Source organism: Homo sapiens, chromosome 12 (assembly GCF_000001405.40).
Source record: "Homo sapiens chromosome 12, GRCh38.p14 Primary Assembly".
NCBI lineage: Eukaryota > Metazoa > Chordata > Mammalia > Primates > Hominidae > Homo > Homo sapiens.
The window spans coordinates 90,933,705-90,949,042 of NC_000012.12; the positions used below are offsets into that span (position 1 = coordinate 90,933,705).

The window sequence follows — 15,338 nt, forward strand, 5'->3', positions numbered from 1 at the left end:
GCATAAAGGTGTTTATAGTAACATTGAGTGATCTTTTCTATTTCAGTGGTGTCAGTTGCAATATCTCCTGTTTTGTTTCTTAGTGAGGTTATTTGGATTTTCTCTCCTCTTTTCTCGGTTAATCTTACAATGGTCTATCAATTTTATTTATCTTTTCATTTATCTTTTTGTATTTTCATTGCTGTTGCTGTTTCAATTTCATTGAGTTCTGCTCTGATCTTGGTAATTTCCTTTCTTCTGCTGGGTTGGAGATTGGTTTGTTCTTGTTTTTCTAATTCCTTGAGGTGTGACCTTAGAATGTCAGTTTATGCCCTTTAAGTCTTTTTGATGTAGGCACTTAGGGCTATGAAACTTTCCTCTTAGCACTGACTTTGCTGTATCCCAGAGGTTTTGATAGGTTGTGTCATTGCTGTCATTCAGTTTGAAGAATTTTTTGTTATCTTTATTTCGTTTTTGACCTAATGCTCATTTGGGAACAAGTTATTTAATTTCCATGTATTTGCATTGTTTCTGAAGGTTCCTTTTTGAGTTGATTTCCAGCCTTATTCCACTGTGGTCTGAGAGAGTGCTGATATAATTTCAATTTTCTTAAATTTATTGAGGCTCATTTTATGGCCTATCATATTGTCTATCTTGGAGAAAGTTCCATGTGCTGTTGAACAGAGCGTGTACTCTGCAGTTGTTGGATGAAATGTTCTGTATGTATCCGTTAAGTCCATTTGTTCCAAGGTATAGTTTAAATCCATTGTTTCTTTGTTGACTTTCTGTCTTGATGACCTGTCTAGTGTTGTCATTGGAGTACTGAAGTCCCCCACTATTGTTGTGTTGCTGCCTATCTCATTTCTTAGATTTACCACTAATTGTTTTATAAATTTGGGAACTCCAGTGTTAGGTGTGCATATGTTTAGGGTTGTGATATTTTTCTATTGGACAAGGGCTTTTACCATTATATAATGCCCCTCTGTCTCTTTTAATTGCTGTTGCTTTAAAATTTGTTTTGTCTGATATAAAAACAGCTACCCCTGCTAATTTTTGGCACCCATTTGCATGAAATGCCTTTTTCCTCCCCTTTACTTTATGTGAGTCCTTATGTGTTAGGTGAGTCTCCTGAAGGCAACAGATAGTTGGTGGGTGAGTTCTTATCCATTCTGCAGTTCTGTATCTTTTAACTGAAGCATTTAGATCATTTACATTCAATATTAGTATTGAAATACGAGGTACCATTGCATTCATTGTGCTTTTTGTTGCCTGTGTACTTTGGGATTTTTGTTTTATGTTTTTGCTTTTTAATATTTATTTTTGTTTTATATGTCCTGTGTGATTTATGCTTCAAAGAGGTTCTGTTTTGATGTGTTTCCAGGATTTGTTTCAAGATTTAGAGTTCCTTTTGGCAGTTCTCATAGTGGTGGCTTGGTAATGGCGAATTCTCTCAGCATTTGTTTGTCTGAAAGCAACTGCATGTTTCTTTCTTATATGATGCTTAGTTTTGCAGGTTACAAAATTCTTGGCTAATTGTTTGGAGGCTGAAGATAGGGCCCCGAATCTCTTCTAGCTTGTAGAGTTTCTCCTGAGAAATCTGCTGTTAATCTGATAGGTTTTTCTTTATAGGTTACCTGGTGCTTCCGTCTGACAGCTCTTAAGCTGATAACATCAGATTAAGCTCTTAAGCTGATAACATCAGATTAAGCTCTTAAGCTGATGACAATGTGCCTAGGCAAAGATCTTTCTGCAATGAATTTTTCAGGTCTTCTTTGTGCTTCTTGTATTTGGATGTCTAGGCCTCTAGCAAGGTCATGGAAGTTTTCCTCGATTATTCCCCTGAATATGTTTCCCAAGCTTTTAGAATTATCTTCTTCCTCAGGAACACTGATTATTCTTAAGTTTGGTTGTTTAACATAATCCAAGACTTATTGGAGACTTTGTTCATATTTTCTCATTATTTTTTCTTTGTCTTTGTTGGATTGGGTTAATTTGAATACTTCGTCTTCGAGCTCTGAATTTCTTTCCTCTACTTGTTCAATTCTATTGCTGAGACTTTCCAGAGCATTTCACATTTCTAAGAGTGTGTCCAAAGTTTCCTGTATTTTTAATTGTTTTTTCTTTAAGCTATCTATTTCCTTGAATATCTCTCCCTTCACTTCTTATATCATTTTTTTTTTTTATTTCCTTGCTTTGGGCTTTATCTTTCTCTCATCCTTCCCTGATGAGCTTAATAACTAACCTCCTGAATTCTTTTTCAGGTAAATCAGGGATTTCTTCTTGGTTTGGATCCATTGCTGGTGAACTAGTGTGATTTTTGGGGGGTGTCAAGAAGCTTTGTTTTGTCATATTACCAGGCTTGGTTTTCTGGTTCCTTTTCATTTGGGTAGGCTCTGTTGGAGGGAAGGTCTAGGGCTGAAGGCTGTTGTTCAGATTCTTTTGTCCCATGGGGTGTTCCCTTGATGTAGTACTCTCCCCTTTATCCTGTGGATGTGACCTCCTGTGAGCCAAACTACAGTGATTGTTGTGTCTTTTCTGGGTCTAGCCACCCAGAGATCCTGGCTCTGGGCTGGTACTGGGGGCTGTCTGCAGAGTTCTGTGATGTGAACCATCTATGGGTCTCTCAGCTGTGGATACCAGTGCCTGCTCCAGTGGAGGTGGTGGTGGGGTGCAATGAACTCTGAGTGTTCTTAGGTTTGGTGGTTGAATTCTCTTTTTTTGTGTTGCTTGGCCTCCTGCCAGGGGGTGGCGCTTTCCAGAAAGCATCAGCTGTAGTAATGTGGAGAGGTACCAGCAGTGGGCGGGGCCCTATAACTCCTGAGATTATATGCTCTTTTTCTTCTGCTACTAAGGTGGATAGGGAAGGACCATCAGGTAGGGGCAGGGCTAGGTGTGTCTGAGCTCAGACTTTCCTTGGGTGGCTCTTGCTGCAGCTGCTGTTGGGGAAGGGGGTGAGATTCCCAGGTCACTGAAGTTGTGTACCTAGAAGGATTATGGCAGCCTCTGCTGAGTCATGCAGGTTTTCCAGGAAGTGGGGAAAAGCCAGCAGTTGCAGGCCTTACCCAGCTCCCACACAAACCAAAGGGCCTCTCTCACTCCCACCGTGCCCCCGCACAATGGACCCAAGTCTGTTTCCAGGCGGAGAGCAAGTTGGGCTTGAAAACTTGCCTGAGGCTACCTGCCTCCCAGCTGTGAAAGAAAAGGGCTTGGTTCTTCCCATGCCTGTGGAGTCTGCACACCAGATATGTGCCCTCCCCCAAGTTCTGGCCAGAAGGCTTCTCACCCTGTTCAAATTGTTACAAATTTCAGCTAGAGAATTCTTTCTCTCTGTGGAGTTTTACCCCCTGCTCCTCTGGTCACCCTCCCTATGGATCCCTGCAGTGCCAGGCAGGAATGGCCTGCTAGGGGATGCAGCAAGCTCCCAGGGCCTTTCTGCTGCTTCTTCTACCCCTGTATTTCACTCAGCTCTCTAAATTGACTCAGCTGCAGGTAAAGTCAGAAACTTGTCCTGCAAATGGACCTTCAGCTTCTCCAGTGGGGGTGTGTGTTTGGGAGAGAAGGGTCTCCCTTTCGCAGTTCTGCAGTTGGGGCCTTCACAATATTCGGGGTGTTTCACAGGTCCTGCAGGAGCAGTCTGCTTCATTCAGAGGGTCTGTGGGTCCTCTCGGGATTGCTGGTTTGTTCTCACAGTTGATCTGGAGCTAAAATTCATAAAGTGAGTTTCCACAAGCTGCTCTGTCCTGAGCTATAATCTAGTCCTTCCTCCTGTCTGCCATGATCACTTCTAGATCACTTTTAAATTCTTAGATGGTATTTTCACATACTAAAGTTTGAGAGTCACAAATCCTAACTTCAAAAGTAACACAAACAAGTCATTGAAATTTGTTAATGCACAATTACCTTATATGTAAATTGGGGATAACTGCATTCACCTCATAAGATCACTGTGAAGATTAAATCAGATAAAACCAAGATAAAACACATGAAACATGCAATGTTTGGTACTATTTTTTGTCATTATTATTGACTTCGAGTTTATGGTTTCCTGGGCCAGTTCAATGGAAAGAGAAGAGATAAGATATTTTGAAAGACAAGAGATAATATATTTTTAAGAAAGCAATTCGAGTAAGATTGTGAAATGTATACATTACTGATTACAGTGAAGCCAGAAAAATTTGGCAGAGTGAAATAAAAATGAGTTCTGGAGGGTCTGAGACTCTTAACAATTTCAATTTCAAAGAAAATTTGTAATTAACTTATCTGGAGAGTTAGCAGGATGGAGAGTGGAAAGAAAGCCTGTGCTCCTTCACCTTAAATTTCCAGAATCAAAGTGTGTGTGCATGTGTGTGTGTCAGTAGTATGCATATAAAATTGTTGGAAATGTGATAATACTATCAAACATACATGAAATCTACTACAAAGATACAAAACATATGACATTGGGCATTTGATATGTGATGATTTAAAATCCTTGAGAGAAAATAAAATCCTATCTCTATTGCATCCAAATAATCTTTTTCTCTCCCCTAAAATGTTGTGTCAGTCTTTAGGACAGTAAAGGGTTAGAGAACACAACAGGGGAAAATTGTCAAAGAACAGGAGGTTAAAATGTAAGATTTCCTAGTTCTAGTGCCTCTTGGCTATGTCAAGGTGCAAGATATAACTTCAAAATTAAGTTATTAAAGTGGAGTTGAAGAGCAATGGGGCTGCGGTCAAAGGCCCATGACAGAGATTGTTGCATGGATTTTCAACATAGCTGGAGGATGGCAAGGTTTGAGGGTGAGAAGAAGATTGTACTCTAGAGGCAAAGAAATAATCAGTGAAAGGGGGAATAGAATACAGGAGGCTGACTGATGAAAAGTCGTAGAGTGTAGTGGAACCACAAGTCAGGATATGCACCTCGTTGACATTAGGTCGAAAGAGTAATGCTTTATAAGTGAGTCAGCATTGTGAAGTTGAAAATTCTTCCTGCTTCCCTTTCCTCCAGTTCCCATGAGCATGAGAGAAGAAGCAATGCACGCTCCGGCAGATTCCTAGGAACCAAATACCTCTGAGGAGCACCAGATTTCAGTAAGACAGAGATCTGATCTGTAAAATGGTTGAGAATGTGGGGAAAGCCATTTATTGTGGAGGCGGCAGGCACAATTTCTTGACTGCTCTCAGTGCCCTGAAATAGAGCCTCACTCTAAAAAAGGGACCCTGCTTTTGGGGCTTAATGCTCTGTGGACATATCTTGAAATTCTTAACAAGATTATCTTGGAATTTGTGTTCTGTAAATGGAATCTGATGGAATATTAGTGGATGTGCCAGAGCTTGGAATCTTGGCTCACCTGTGGTACTGCCTTTCCACTGCTTTCCCACCTCCTCACCTTCTCAGGACAGAATCACAGCTATCTGCTCCCCCTCACCTGCCCAGTGACCACTGCTACCCATGGTGGAGGCCTAAGCATGGGTCTGGGAAGGGACAAGATCAGGTGTATGAGCCCCACAGTTTGAGTTGTGGGCAGGACCCAGGTACCTGTGAGGGTTTGCACTTGCCTCGCATGTATTTCCATGCCCCAAAGAGCATGAGATTAAATAACAAAACAAAAGAACAAAAATGCCACATAACTGGTTTAGAGATAAATCACAGGAGGAAAGTGAATTTTTTTTTTTTTTTTTTGGCCTACTTTTTGTACAAAGAGGCTTGCATTGACATTTTGCGCTGGGCTCCACAAATTTTGCAGCTGGTTCTGATTGGAGGTTTCCAAAGGTCACAGTGGAAAGAGTAGAGAAGGCAGGCAATGGTGAAGAGTTGGGAAAAAGGAACATCAACAAGACTTTATGGGAGGATGGATTCATACATTGAGATAATGGAGCTGATGAACTTAACATTTTGAAAAGTGGCCAAGGGTAAGTTTGCAAGATACAGGAAGTTAGTCTGTCAAAGATCCAAATGGAACTCTGGCCAAAATTTTAGTAAGTACACTGAACTCCAGTGCTTAATTCTATTGCCCATGGCCTCTGCTCAGGGTACCAAACATAGAGTTGAGAGGTTCTTATAAGTTGCTTCAATAAATCCTTTCCCAGGGGCTATTTAGACACTTCACTTCAAATTTGAAACCACTCCTCATAGTGAATACAGGAGTAAACTCATGTTATTTGTGAGCAGGACGAAGCCAAGGGAAGGCAGTGGAGACATAGTATGAGTCTAATTGTGAAGAGCTGGTTACAGCCAAAACATTAGTGAACTTACAAAGGAATCAGAAAATTCTTTGAGTCTTGGGTTTCCAGTGGCCAACTTTTTAACTCTAATGAAAGACCTTAATTCTTCTCAGGTTTATCTGTAAAATGGGGATGATGATGATTCCTGCTTTTTGACTGCTCAGGGCTGTTGCAAATGTCAAAGTACATAATTAATATAAAGTTTCTTTGCAAATAGCAAATATCGTTATTTTAATTCTATACCCTTTTTTTTTTTTGAAGGCTTATGGGATGCTTTGATTGCTCTGTGGCTGCATTTAGGAGAAGGAAGCTGCAGTCATGCGTCATCACTGCCAGCCTCACATCTCTTGACAGTTAAAGCCTTAGGGTGGAGCAAGGGAAAATTTAAAATAACAAATGAAGCAAAAGCAAGAGGTGATGTTCCAAAGCAGAGGAAGGCTAAGTTTATATATACAAATGTCAAGTGTGTATAGGTGAGTGTCTCAGAAGGTTTATATGTTCTATATAAATATAGAAGTAAGTAGACTCCTTGAATAGGAAGAAAGGTCTTTTTCTTCTGAATTTTAGAATATTTTCTGCTCCATATCATTTATCTACATCTAAGTAGTCTGTTTTTCTATTTTAATGTCTCCTCCTGTCTTTCAATATATTACGGAATGGGCTAAGATGTAAGCGGGCTTAACCTTGCCTAGTCACCTGTTTCATTCACCAGTGGGGTACCCCACCTAAAGGAGCTGTCACAAAAGAGCAGCTATGAACAGCATGAAAAACAGCAACAACAATTATAACTCTAAAGAGGTGGATGAAACCCATTGTTATTTCATTAAACAACAATGTTGGAGTTTTAGGAAAAAAAGCTGTAAGCAATGAGTCCAGAAACTAAAATTTTAGTATGATTTATCATGCTACATCCATAATTAACCAATATCCCAGAACTAACATTTTTGAAATATCTTTTCTCCAACAGACATTTAAGTTCTTAAAGTAGATAATATCTATATATCCAGTTTTGTAAGGTTTTTGAGAAGAGGCTTTAAATTTATATTGTGTCCCCACCAAAAAATTGTATTTCCCTTCTGTGTAGATGAAGGTAGTATTATTAATAGCTAGAGTGGGGTATATATACATTTATATTAACTCAATTTTCTTACATGGAAGAGCCTGTACAGCTTCTTTGAAAAGATCGCCACCTAGGGGAAATTAACAAGAGTTAATGCAACATCTGCAATGCACCACATATGCTGCGTAATATCTAATGGCGTATGTATTTAAGGAAAAAAATATGCAAAACTGTGTCATATTTCAGCAAATGTGGTGGGCCACCTAGGAAAAATAGACTACCCTGTAGACCTAGAAAGTGTGCTTGTGCACAATTTTATTGTTATTTCTAACACAGAACTGCATGTAGCTTTTGTTTATTCATTAGGGCTTGATTTTAATGACTTTCTCCATATCCAGAGAGATTTTTGAATATAGAATTTTTTACAAAATAGATATCCATCTGATTATGAGTATAAAACTTATATTTTTGACAATTTTTACAATTAAAAATAATAGTTTTAATTAGTACAATTGTTAAGATTCTTACATGTAAAAGAATTTCTATCTCAATTAAGCCTCAGAAATTAACAAAGATGTTTCTCCTTAAACTCATTTATTTGTTTCTGAGAATTTATAACAAGATCTCCAAATGAGGGCAAGTAAAGTGGGAAATAATTTAGTTGGTTCATTCAAGTAAAAATGGGTTATTTTACTGTACTTGAATTTCTGATGTTTTTGATAAATGTCTTAGAGAATCACTGCATTTTCTGTAAGCACATTTAACATAAAATATGATCCACGTTATAATCTTTACATGCTATGTTGCAGATATGGGAACTTGAAAGAATGCAACATATCTTTAAGTTGAAATGGATACTTTAGCAGCCATGAAAAATTTATGTTTTGTTTTATAAAAACAAGCTACTAATTTCAAAATCAACTTTCTAAAAAGTCAAAGTATAATTTTAAATTAAATCACATGCTCTGAAGATAATTTTTGGTTAATTAGATACTTTTGGATCATAAATTTTAATGCATCAAGATTATAAAGTAGGCAAGAGTCTAATAGGGAAAAACTTAAGGGATTATTTGAAAAAGTTTTATGTATGCTGTGTTTACAATTATTAGAACAGTTGTCAAACTGTCTAGTGACTGCCTGTTAACTCAGTCTTCCCCATTAAGTGGAAAACCTCTTGGTAACAGTGAGTATTTTTATATACAATTATTCCTGAGGTGCTATTTGAGCAGTGTCTGTTCTGATTACTTGGTGCCCGTAGAACCAGTGGTTAAACAATTTGAATATAACTCCTAGATGTATCAATAGCATTTAGAAGAATGCCTGGCATTTAGAAGGAACATGCGACACAATGGGTAAATGAATGAATAAATAGCCCCTCAAATTAGGCCTGTCCCCTGCGTTAAGTATATGCTTATAGAATCTATAACCCTCTCACAAAAAAAATGAGTCTACTGTAGAAGGCATAGTTAATCTTTGTAAGGTAAAGGTAAATATGAATTATTCTATCCCTTTTGAGATTATCCCTGCCATAATCATCTTGATAGATAATCAAGAGCTAGAGGTACACCAAAGGAAACTGTTATGTCATATGAAATTATATGTATGTAATTATTTATTTTGTGTATATATATACATATTGTGTGTATATCTCTCTATATATAGATATAAAATTTTAGAAATCAGTAGTATATTTGATCATGGAATAGAAAAGATTCTTTGATGAACTAAGATGAATTTATATACCTGGATAAGTAAACTTGATATTTTATCCCTGCTTATTAAAATCATTTAAATTATTTGGCAATCCATCTGTAACATTCCTTAGCTACGCTAAATTCAAGAAGCACTAATTATCTTCACTTTGCAAGGTGAATATGTTTTAAGGTACACCAACATTTAAACTCTCTGTCTTTTCCTTTACTTCTAGCTGAATCTGATGGTACTTTTAGTGAAATAGGAGTTATAATATCTTACCTATAATAGTGTTCTTAGACGAGTTCTTATTTCTCACTAAATCTAATCCATATTGTTTATTTAGATTTTTGCCTGCCCTGAAATGTGATACTTTCATGGCAAATCTTTTCAACCTTTAACTTTCATTCTTCATTATATCCATTTTCTTTCAACAGACCTCCAGATAGTGCTATTACTTTGCTTTTATACTGTATTTTATTTTTTTCCTAATTGTGACTGCCACATAGCAGCTCTTGGGCTCTTCTCCTGCCAGTAGCTAGCAGTTTTCCATTTCTACCTACTTCCATTAGTAAAGGCTGATTCCTAATTTAGAGAATTAAGAATTCTGCAATCAGAGTGAACTTTATACTTTCACCTTAGAAGAAAGGGAAAAGGGGCCAGGGAACAGTTTTAATGATGTGAATATTCTAGCACAGTTTTGCACTCTGCTTCTTTACTCTCTTTAAAATGTCTCATCACATAAATAATTTATCACAGAACTTTTGGACATCAATTACTGAGACTCAGCACTTTTTCCAGGACAGCATTACAATATGCGGTATGACTGCAAAAGTTTGGCTTTGGCTATTGACTCAAAGTTATGTCCTTGAATAATCTGAACTGAATCTAAGATTTCATCACACTCCCATCCATTTCAGAGTGGACTTAATGATATAAGGAAACAGACTATGTGGTTTCCAACCTCTGTCACCTATTAGCTGTGGGATCCTGGGTAACTTGGTCAAGAGCTCTTAGCATTGGCTTTCTCACTGCTAAACTAAGCATATGTTCTTAGCACAGGTCCTACACAAGGTAAACACTCAGCAAAGTGAAACAGAATAAAATAAGTGTTGGCTACGTTAAGCTTCACCAGGTACTCCAAATTGTAAAATTATAATAATCTAAAAATGTATTTTCATGTGCCTTTTAGAAACAGGAACATTGCCATGAGCATTTTTAAGATGGTTTATACTCATGGTGATTCTGTGGCCCAGCAAGTTGGAACCAAGAGCTTCTTGTTACATTAAAAAATTTTGTGTTCAGTTCCTGTGCAAATCTATGCATGAGGACAGGGCTATTATACCACACAGTTTAGAGCACAAGAGATGTGGCTGAGTCTCTACTTACTCTTTCTTCTGCTTTCCTAATGAAGTAGGTTTTAGTACACACATGGATAAGTAATTATGCTTCTCTGTTGGAACTACCTAAGAATCATAGATCATTTCATAGATTTATTTTTATTTTATTCTTTTTTTAAATATTGAAATTATGTATTAAGGGCTTCTTATGTGCAAGATTGTGCACTGGAAGTAGAAAGATGATCAATTCCTTGACCTATAACCTTTTTTAGACAGAAGAGAACCACAGGTAATTAACGATAATTTAGAAAGGATAATGGAAGTATCAATAAAGTGAAGTGTTAAGGAAGTACAAAGCAAGAAGTACAGAGCACCTCTTTCTAGAAGCGCTGTGGAAGAACTGATGAATGCATCACTAAGGCAGTTGTAAAGGCAGAAACTATCTCTCAGGCTAAGGCAGAGCCTGCTCGTAGCATTGATTTGTGCTCCCACTAGACCTAGATAGCAGCTGGAAAGAGCTGGGAATCAGGCAGCAATAAAAATATTAATTATCTTCTGGGTGCCAGACCAACAAACAAGCAAGTTTGTTTCTTTCCCTAACAAGATGTACTCTAATTAGTGGCCATGATCATTACACCATGTTTGAGTCCCAGGAGGTGATTGACTATCACAAGTCCTGCTTTCACTACCAGGCCAATGGATACATACTCTCATTTTTATTGCTTGAGATTAAAGTGTTAAGCATTATTTAGTTTAGCAATTTCAAATTTGATAATTGTCTTGTTTATTGTCACTATTTAAAGGAAAACAAATACACTGTCAGTGCAGATTGTGAATGTTAATTAGTGGTGTTACTGTCAAAAGGAATTTGAATAGACAGAAGTATTGTAGAAACACCTTCAGATAAAATATGATTCATGGAATAAAATTATTATAACTTTATCAAAATAATAATCCACAGACATACAAGGATTCTTCTGGGCCAATGTTTTCCCCCTTTCCTTCACACACTTTGGTAATTTATGTTTATGGCTTAGTCTTATAGTTCAAAAAGATACTAACTTTTAAACACCAAGCCGTATAGCAGCATATTCAAATAAATAATTTAAATATCTATCTTAATACGGTGCTTTGTCACAATACCATTACAGTACTCTTTTTGCATTTGTATTAATGTATTATGTGTTCTAAAAAATGCATCTGTGAATATAGTACAACAGCTCATCTATCATTAGCTTACATTTAAATGTTTTGCCTTTGCCACTAGGTGGCACCTATATATTAATAGTTGTGGAGCATAAGTTCTACATAAGAAGGCAATATAGACAGTGAAGGAGAGAAAAGTAAGCCATTTTATTAAATTTGTTTTGTATTTAAATATTTGTTCAGGAAATAATGTAGAATTCACAAAATTTTTTTAAGACTAGGGGAAAACATTAAATACTCATTATTCTTTTTAAAAAAATGATGAACATTGATTTTGGAAAAATCCACTGGGGGTTGCCAGGGGAACATATACAGCCACTTAGTCTTGACCTCAGCTTGCCATCCTATATTATAATCTCCCAGTTCAAGGAAATTCTGCAATCAATAAAAATTAATAAAAAATAAGAACTGTAATTATATATGGCAGCATTAAAATTCTGCTTTTGGTGGTACTATTTAATGATAAATGTCATATGAAATGTGTAGTCTAATAGAAATTTTTGTGATAAATGGTAAATTAACACCAGTTAAGAGTCTTAAATTACTAGGCCTAAAACTGACATGCTAAAAATCTAAATATATTTAGGAGAGGATACACAAATAATGCATGATAACAGAACTATCAATCATTATAAAAATTTCAAATGCCCTCTGAAACCATCAGGAGATGCCAATATTAATAGCTTAAATAACAGCTAAAAATGCCAGTTAATGTCAAATCTAAATTTTTAAAGAGAAATGTGGATTTCTAGTCTTAGGTGTTAAAAGTTTACACAAAATAACCTTCCTGGGATAATAAAATATCACCAATAGAATTTGAAAGAAATCAAAAAGTAAGAGAACATGCAGTAATCATTAAAATTTTATTACAACTCTTGGTACTGTCTATGCTTCACTAAATATTGCATTGTATTTATTTATTGAAATCACAGTATTGAATTTAGGCAGCACAAGGTTAATAGCTAGATAGAAACACAGTGTCCAGCTCATGAGAAGAGTGCATGGATAGTATGTGATTAGTGTCTTAAGTTGAGAATAACCATTCTAAAAGCAACATCCAAAAAAGAAAAAGAAATAGATTTAGAATGAAACAAGCAGCCTAGAAAGAAGGTAAGTCAAAACCTATGTAACATGAACAATGGTGTAAATAAGTAGGGGAGCTTCTCCAAAAGATAGTCCAAATACAGCCAAGTCCTTTTTGTGTTTGAAATATAATACCTTTGTTTATTTTCCTATAGTGCAAAACTAGGACCAGTTGGTGGAATCTGTGGTCAAAAACAAAAGCCTTCCTTTTTTTTTTTTCAAGGTAAGCATCTTGCTCTGTCACCCAGGCTGGAGTGCAGTGGCTTCATCTCTGCTCACTGCAACCTCCACCATCTCCTGGGCTCAAGCCATCCTTCCACCTCAGCCTTCCGAGTAGCTGAGACCACAGCCATGGGTTACAATGCCTCAGATAACAAACATTACTTTTTTTGATAGGATGGGGTTTCTCCATGTTGCCCCTGCTGGTCTCAAACTCCTGGGCTCATACAATCCCAAAGTGCTGAGATTATAGGCATAAGCCATTGCACTGGGCAGGACAATTTTTTTTTTTAAATTAAAACTAGAACTTCTTATTGAGGGAAATACGACCATGTATTTTAAATTGTAAAAAACAGTTCTGCATGTGATCTTCATATAGAAAACATTAATATATTTTCTGTATAAAAAGAAGGGAGGAATAAAAGATTTGAGCTGATGACCTTTCAACATACAAAGTCTACAAGCTTTTTATTTAAAGCCATTGTTTGTATGTTAAATTTTACAATAATTGAGATAATTATAGATACTTTAGTAGTTGGAAATGAGTCAGAAATACATGCATGGTCTACATGTTGGAAATAATTTTGTTATACTAAGGTAGACCCACTAGGGTACTATAGCATGTGCAGTGGAGAAATGACCCTAGCAAGTTGTCAAAAGTCACTAGGGGCTCAAAGTTGTAGGGCATTAGGACCTAGTGTTCATAGTTACAGAGAACATTTTAGCTCTATTATGTAGTATCCTATAGCTGCCCATTATTCAAGGAGGGCAATTGTCAGTCACTCCCCTTGGGAATCCTTCTGAATATAGGATTTTTCTGTTAGAGAAACTCTGCTATGTACCTCTATTTATACAAGTATTTATATGTAAGCGGATTTCTAAAATGGTTGACATCTAAAAGTTAAATTCTGCACTTGTTATACCCATCTTGACTGGATTTATCTTGAAATGAAAGTATACTTGATTTAAGGCAATGCCAGAGAAGTATTTAAATGTAGTTTGTTCCAGGAATACATTTGTCTCCAACACTCCCTCCCTGCCTCTCCCCCTGCCCCTTGTAGTAGAACTACTAGATCATATTACCATGCAGCAATATATAGGTAGAGCAGTAAAAGATTCTCGCAGGGCCTGAAAGCTTAAGGGAATGAATAACTCCTCTCTTCTGAGGCCCAGTCCCAAGACGCAAGACCACTTGCGCCAGCAGCGTGCATCAGCAAGATAGCAAAAGCAGGACGAGAGCTGCCCGGAAGACATCTACCTGGCCAGAAGACACCTACCCTGGCCGGAAGACATGTACCCCTGAAGATAGAGAAAGAGGCCATCGTGTACTACGTAGCAGTCATGTCAGACTGGGACACTTCCTGTTTACAGAGGACTATAAAACCCCTGTCCTGTCCTCACTTGGGGCTGACGCCATCTTAGGCCTCAGCCCGCCTGCAGCCAGGCGTTCGTTAAAACAGCATGTTGCTCCACACCGCCTTGTATTGTTTGTTGGTCCCACTCTCTGGGCTCGAACCAATACAAGCACCTTTCAAGCAGTATATTCTTCAGTGTCTTGATCCTCCAAATAACTCTCTTCTAATTCCTCCTGACCACAAAAAGCACTTATACTCTAGGATGACTGATTCCAGCCCAGTGGCCTGGCAAGGGTGAATTACACCTTGCATATCACACTCTTGACATTTGTGTGCGCTAGCATAAGAATTATAATTGAAACAGGGATTTAAGTATCTCCTCTCTAGGTGCCTACCCTCCTTGGACTCAGGTCAAATTTATTAAAGGAAGTTTTGTTTCTAGATAGGTTGTTTGAAATAAAATAACAGAATGTTCAAGTAACACAGTGTACCTACAGCTTTTAACAAAATTGAGGACTTGGGTCTCGAAACAATTTCCTTTGATTTTCAGGTATTTTATCTATAAAAAGGGAGATAAAGCATTAGTTCATAGGACAGTTATATGTTTAAATGTGATAATGTATATTAACCACCTTGCATGTATTCAAATGTGTTTTGAAATCTAACGTCTACATTTTGATAGTTTAACTGTTCTACATAAGTGACTTACAACAGGCATTAAATATTGTTTGGCATTTTCATATATCTGTAACTGTATCTTAATCTACAATGAGCTTAATTTTAAGTGTAGCATAAAACAGAACCTTCAATAAAGTGGTAATATTAGGAATGATATCCAGTTATCTTATACACTTATAAAGTTACCTATAAATTCTTACGAATATTTTTCTAAAGTAAAATTTTGATTTTACTTTAATTATAGATGAGAAGCAACAAAGCAACATTTATAACAATTTATCCCACTCAGGCATTTGTTCCCACCAAATGTGTATATTGATATACGTACACATAAAATATTCCTGTGTTAGATTGTCGTCACATCACTTATATAAACTATTAACCCACTACAAACAAATTTGTTTTTCAAGTATTACAGTTGCATTGATTTTGATTTTGAAAATATGCATTCAACTATCCATTGCTTCTATGGAAAAGGACGGGTAATTCTTAGCACCAACCATTAGAGCATTAATGTCAACC

The 15,338-nt window shown here is 36.9% G+C and overlaps 1 long non-coding RNA gene across 1 annotated transcript in view; it reads left to right on the plus strand.

Annotated features, from left to right (window-relative positions):
- The window catches only part of LINC00615 (long intergenic non-protein coding RNA 615), a 30,647-nt gene extending 15,682 nt beyond the window's left edge, over positions 1-14,965 (plus strand). Inside the window, exons 2-5 of the long non-coding RNA NR_038868.1 lie at positions 4,967-5,049; positions 6,445-6,656; positions 12,720-12,787; positions 13,951-14,965. This is a non-coding gene — a long non-coding RNA (long intergenic non-protein coding RNA 615). The remainder of the gene's footprint in view (positions 1-4,966; positions 5,050-6,444; positions 6,657-12,719; positions 12,788-13,950) is intronic.
- The last annotated feature ends 373 nt before the right edge of the window (positions 14,966-15,338 follow it).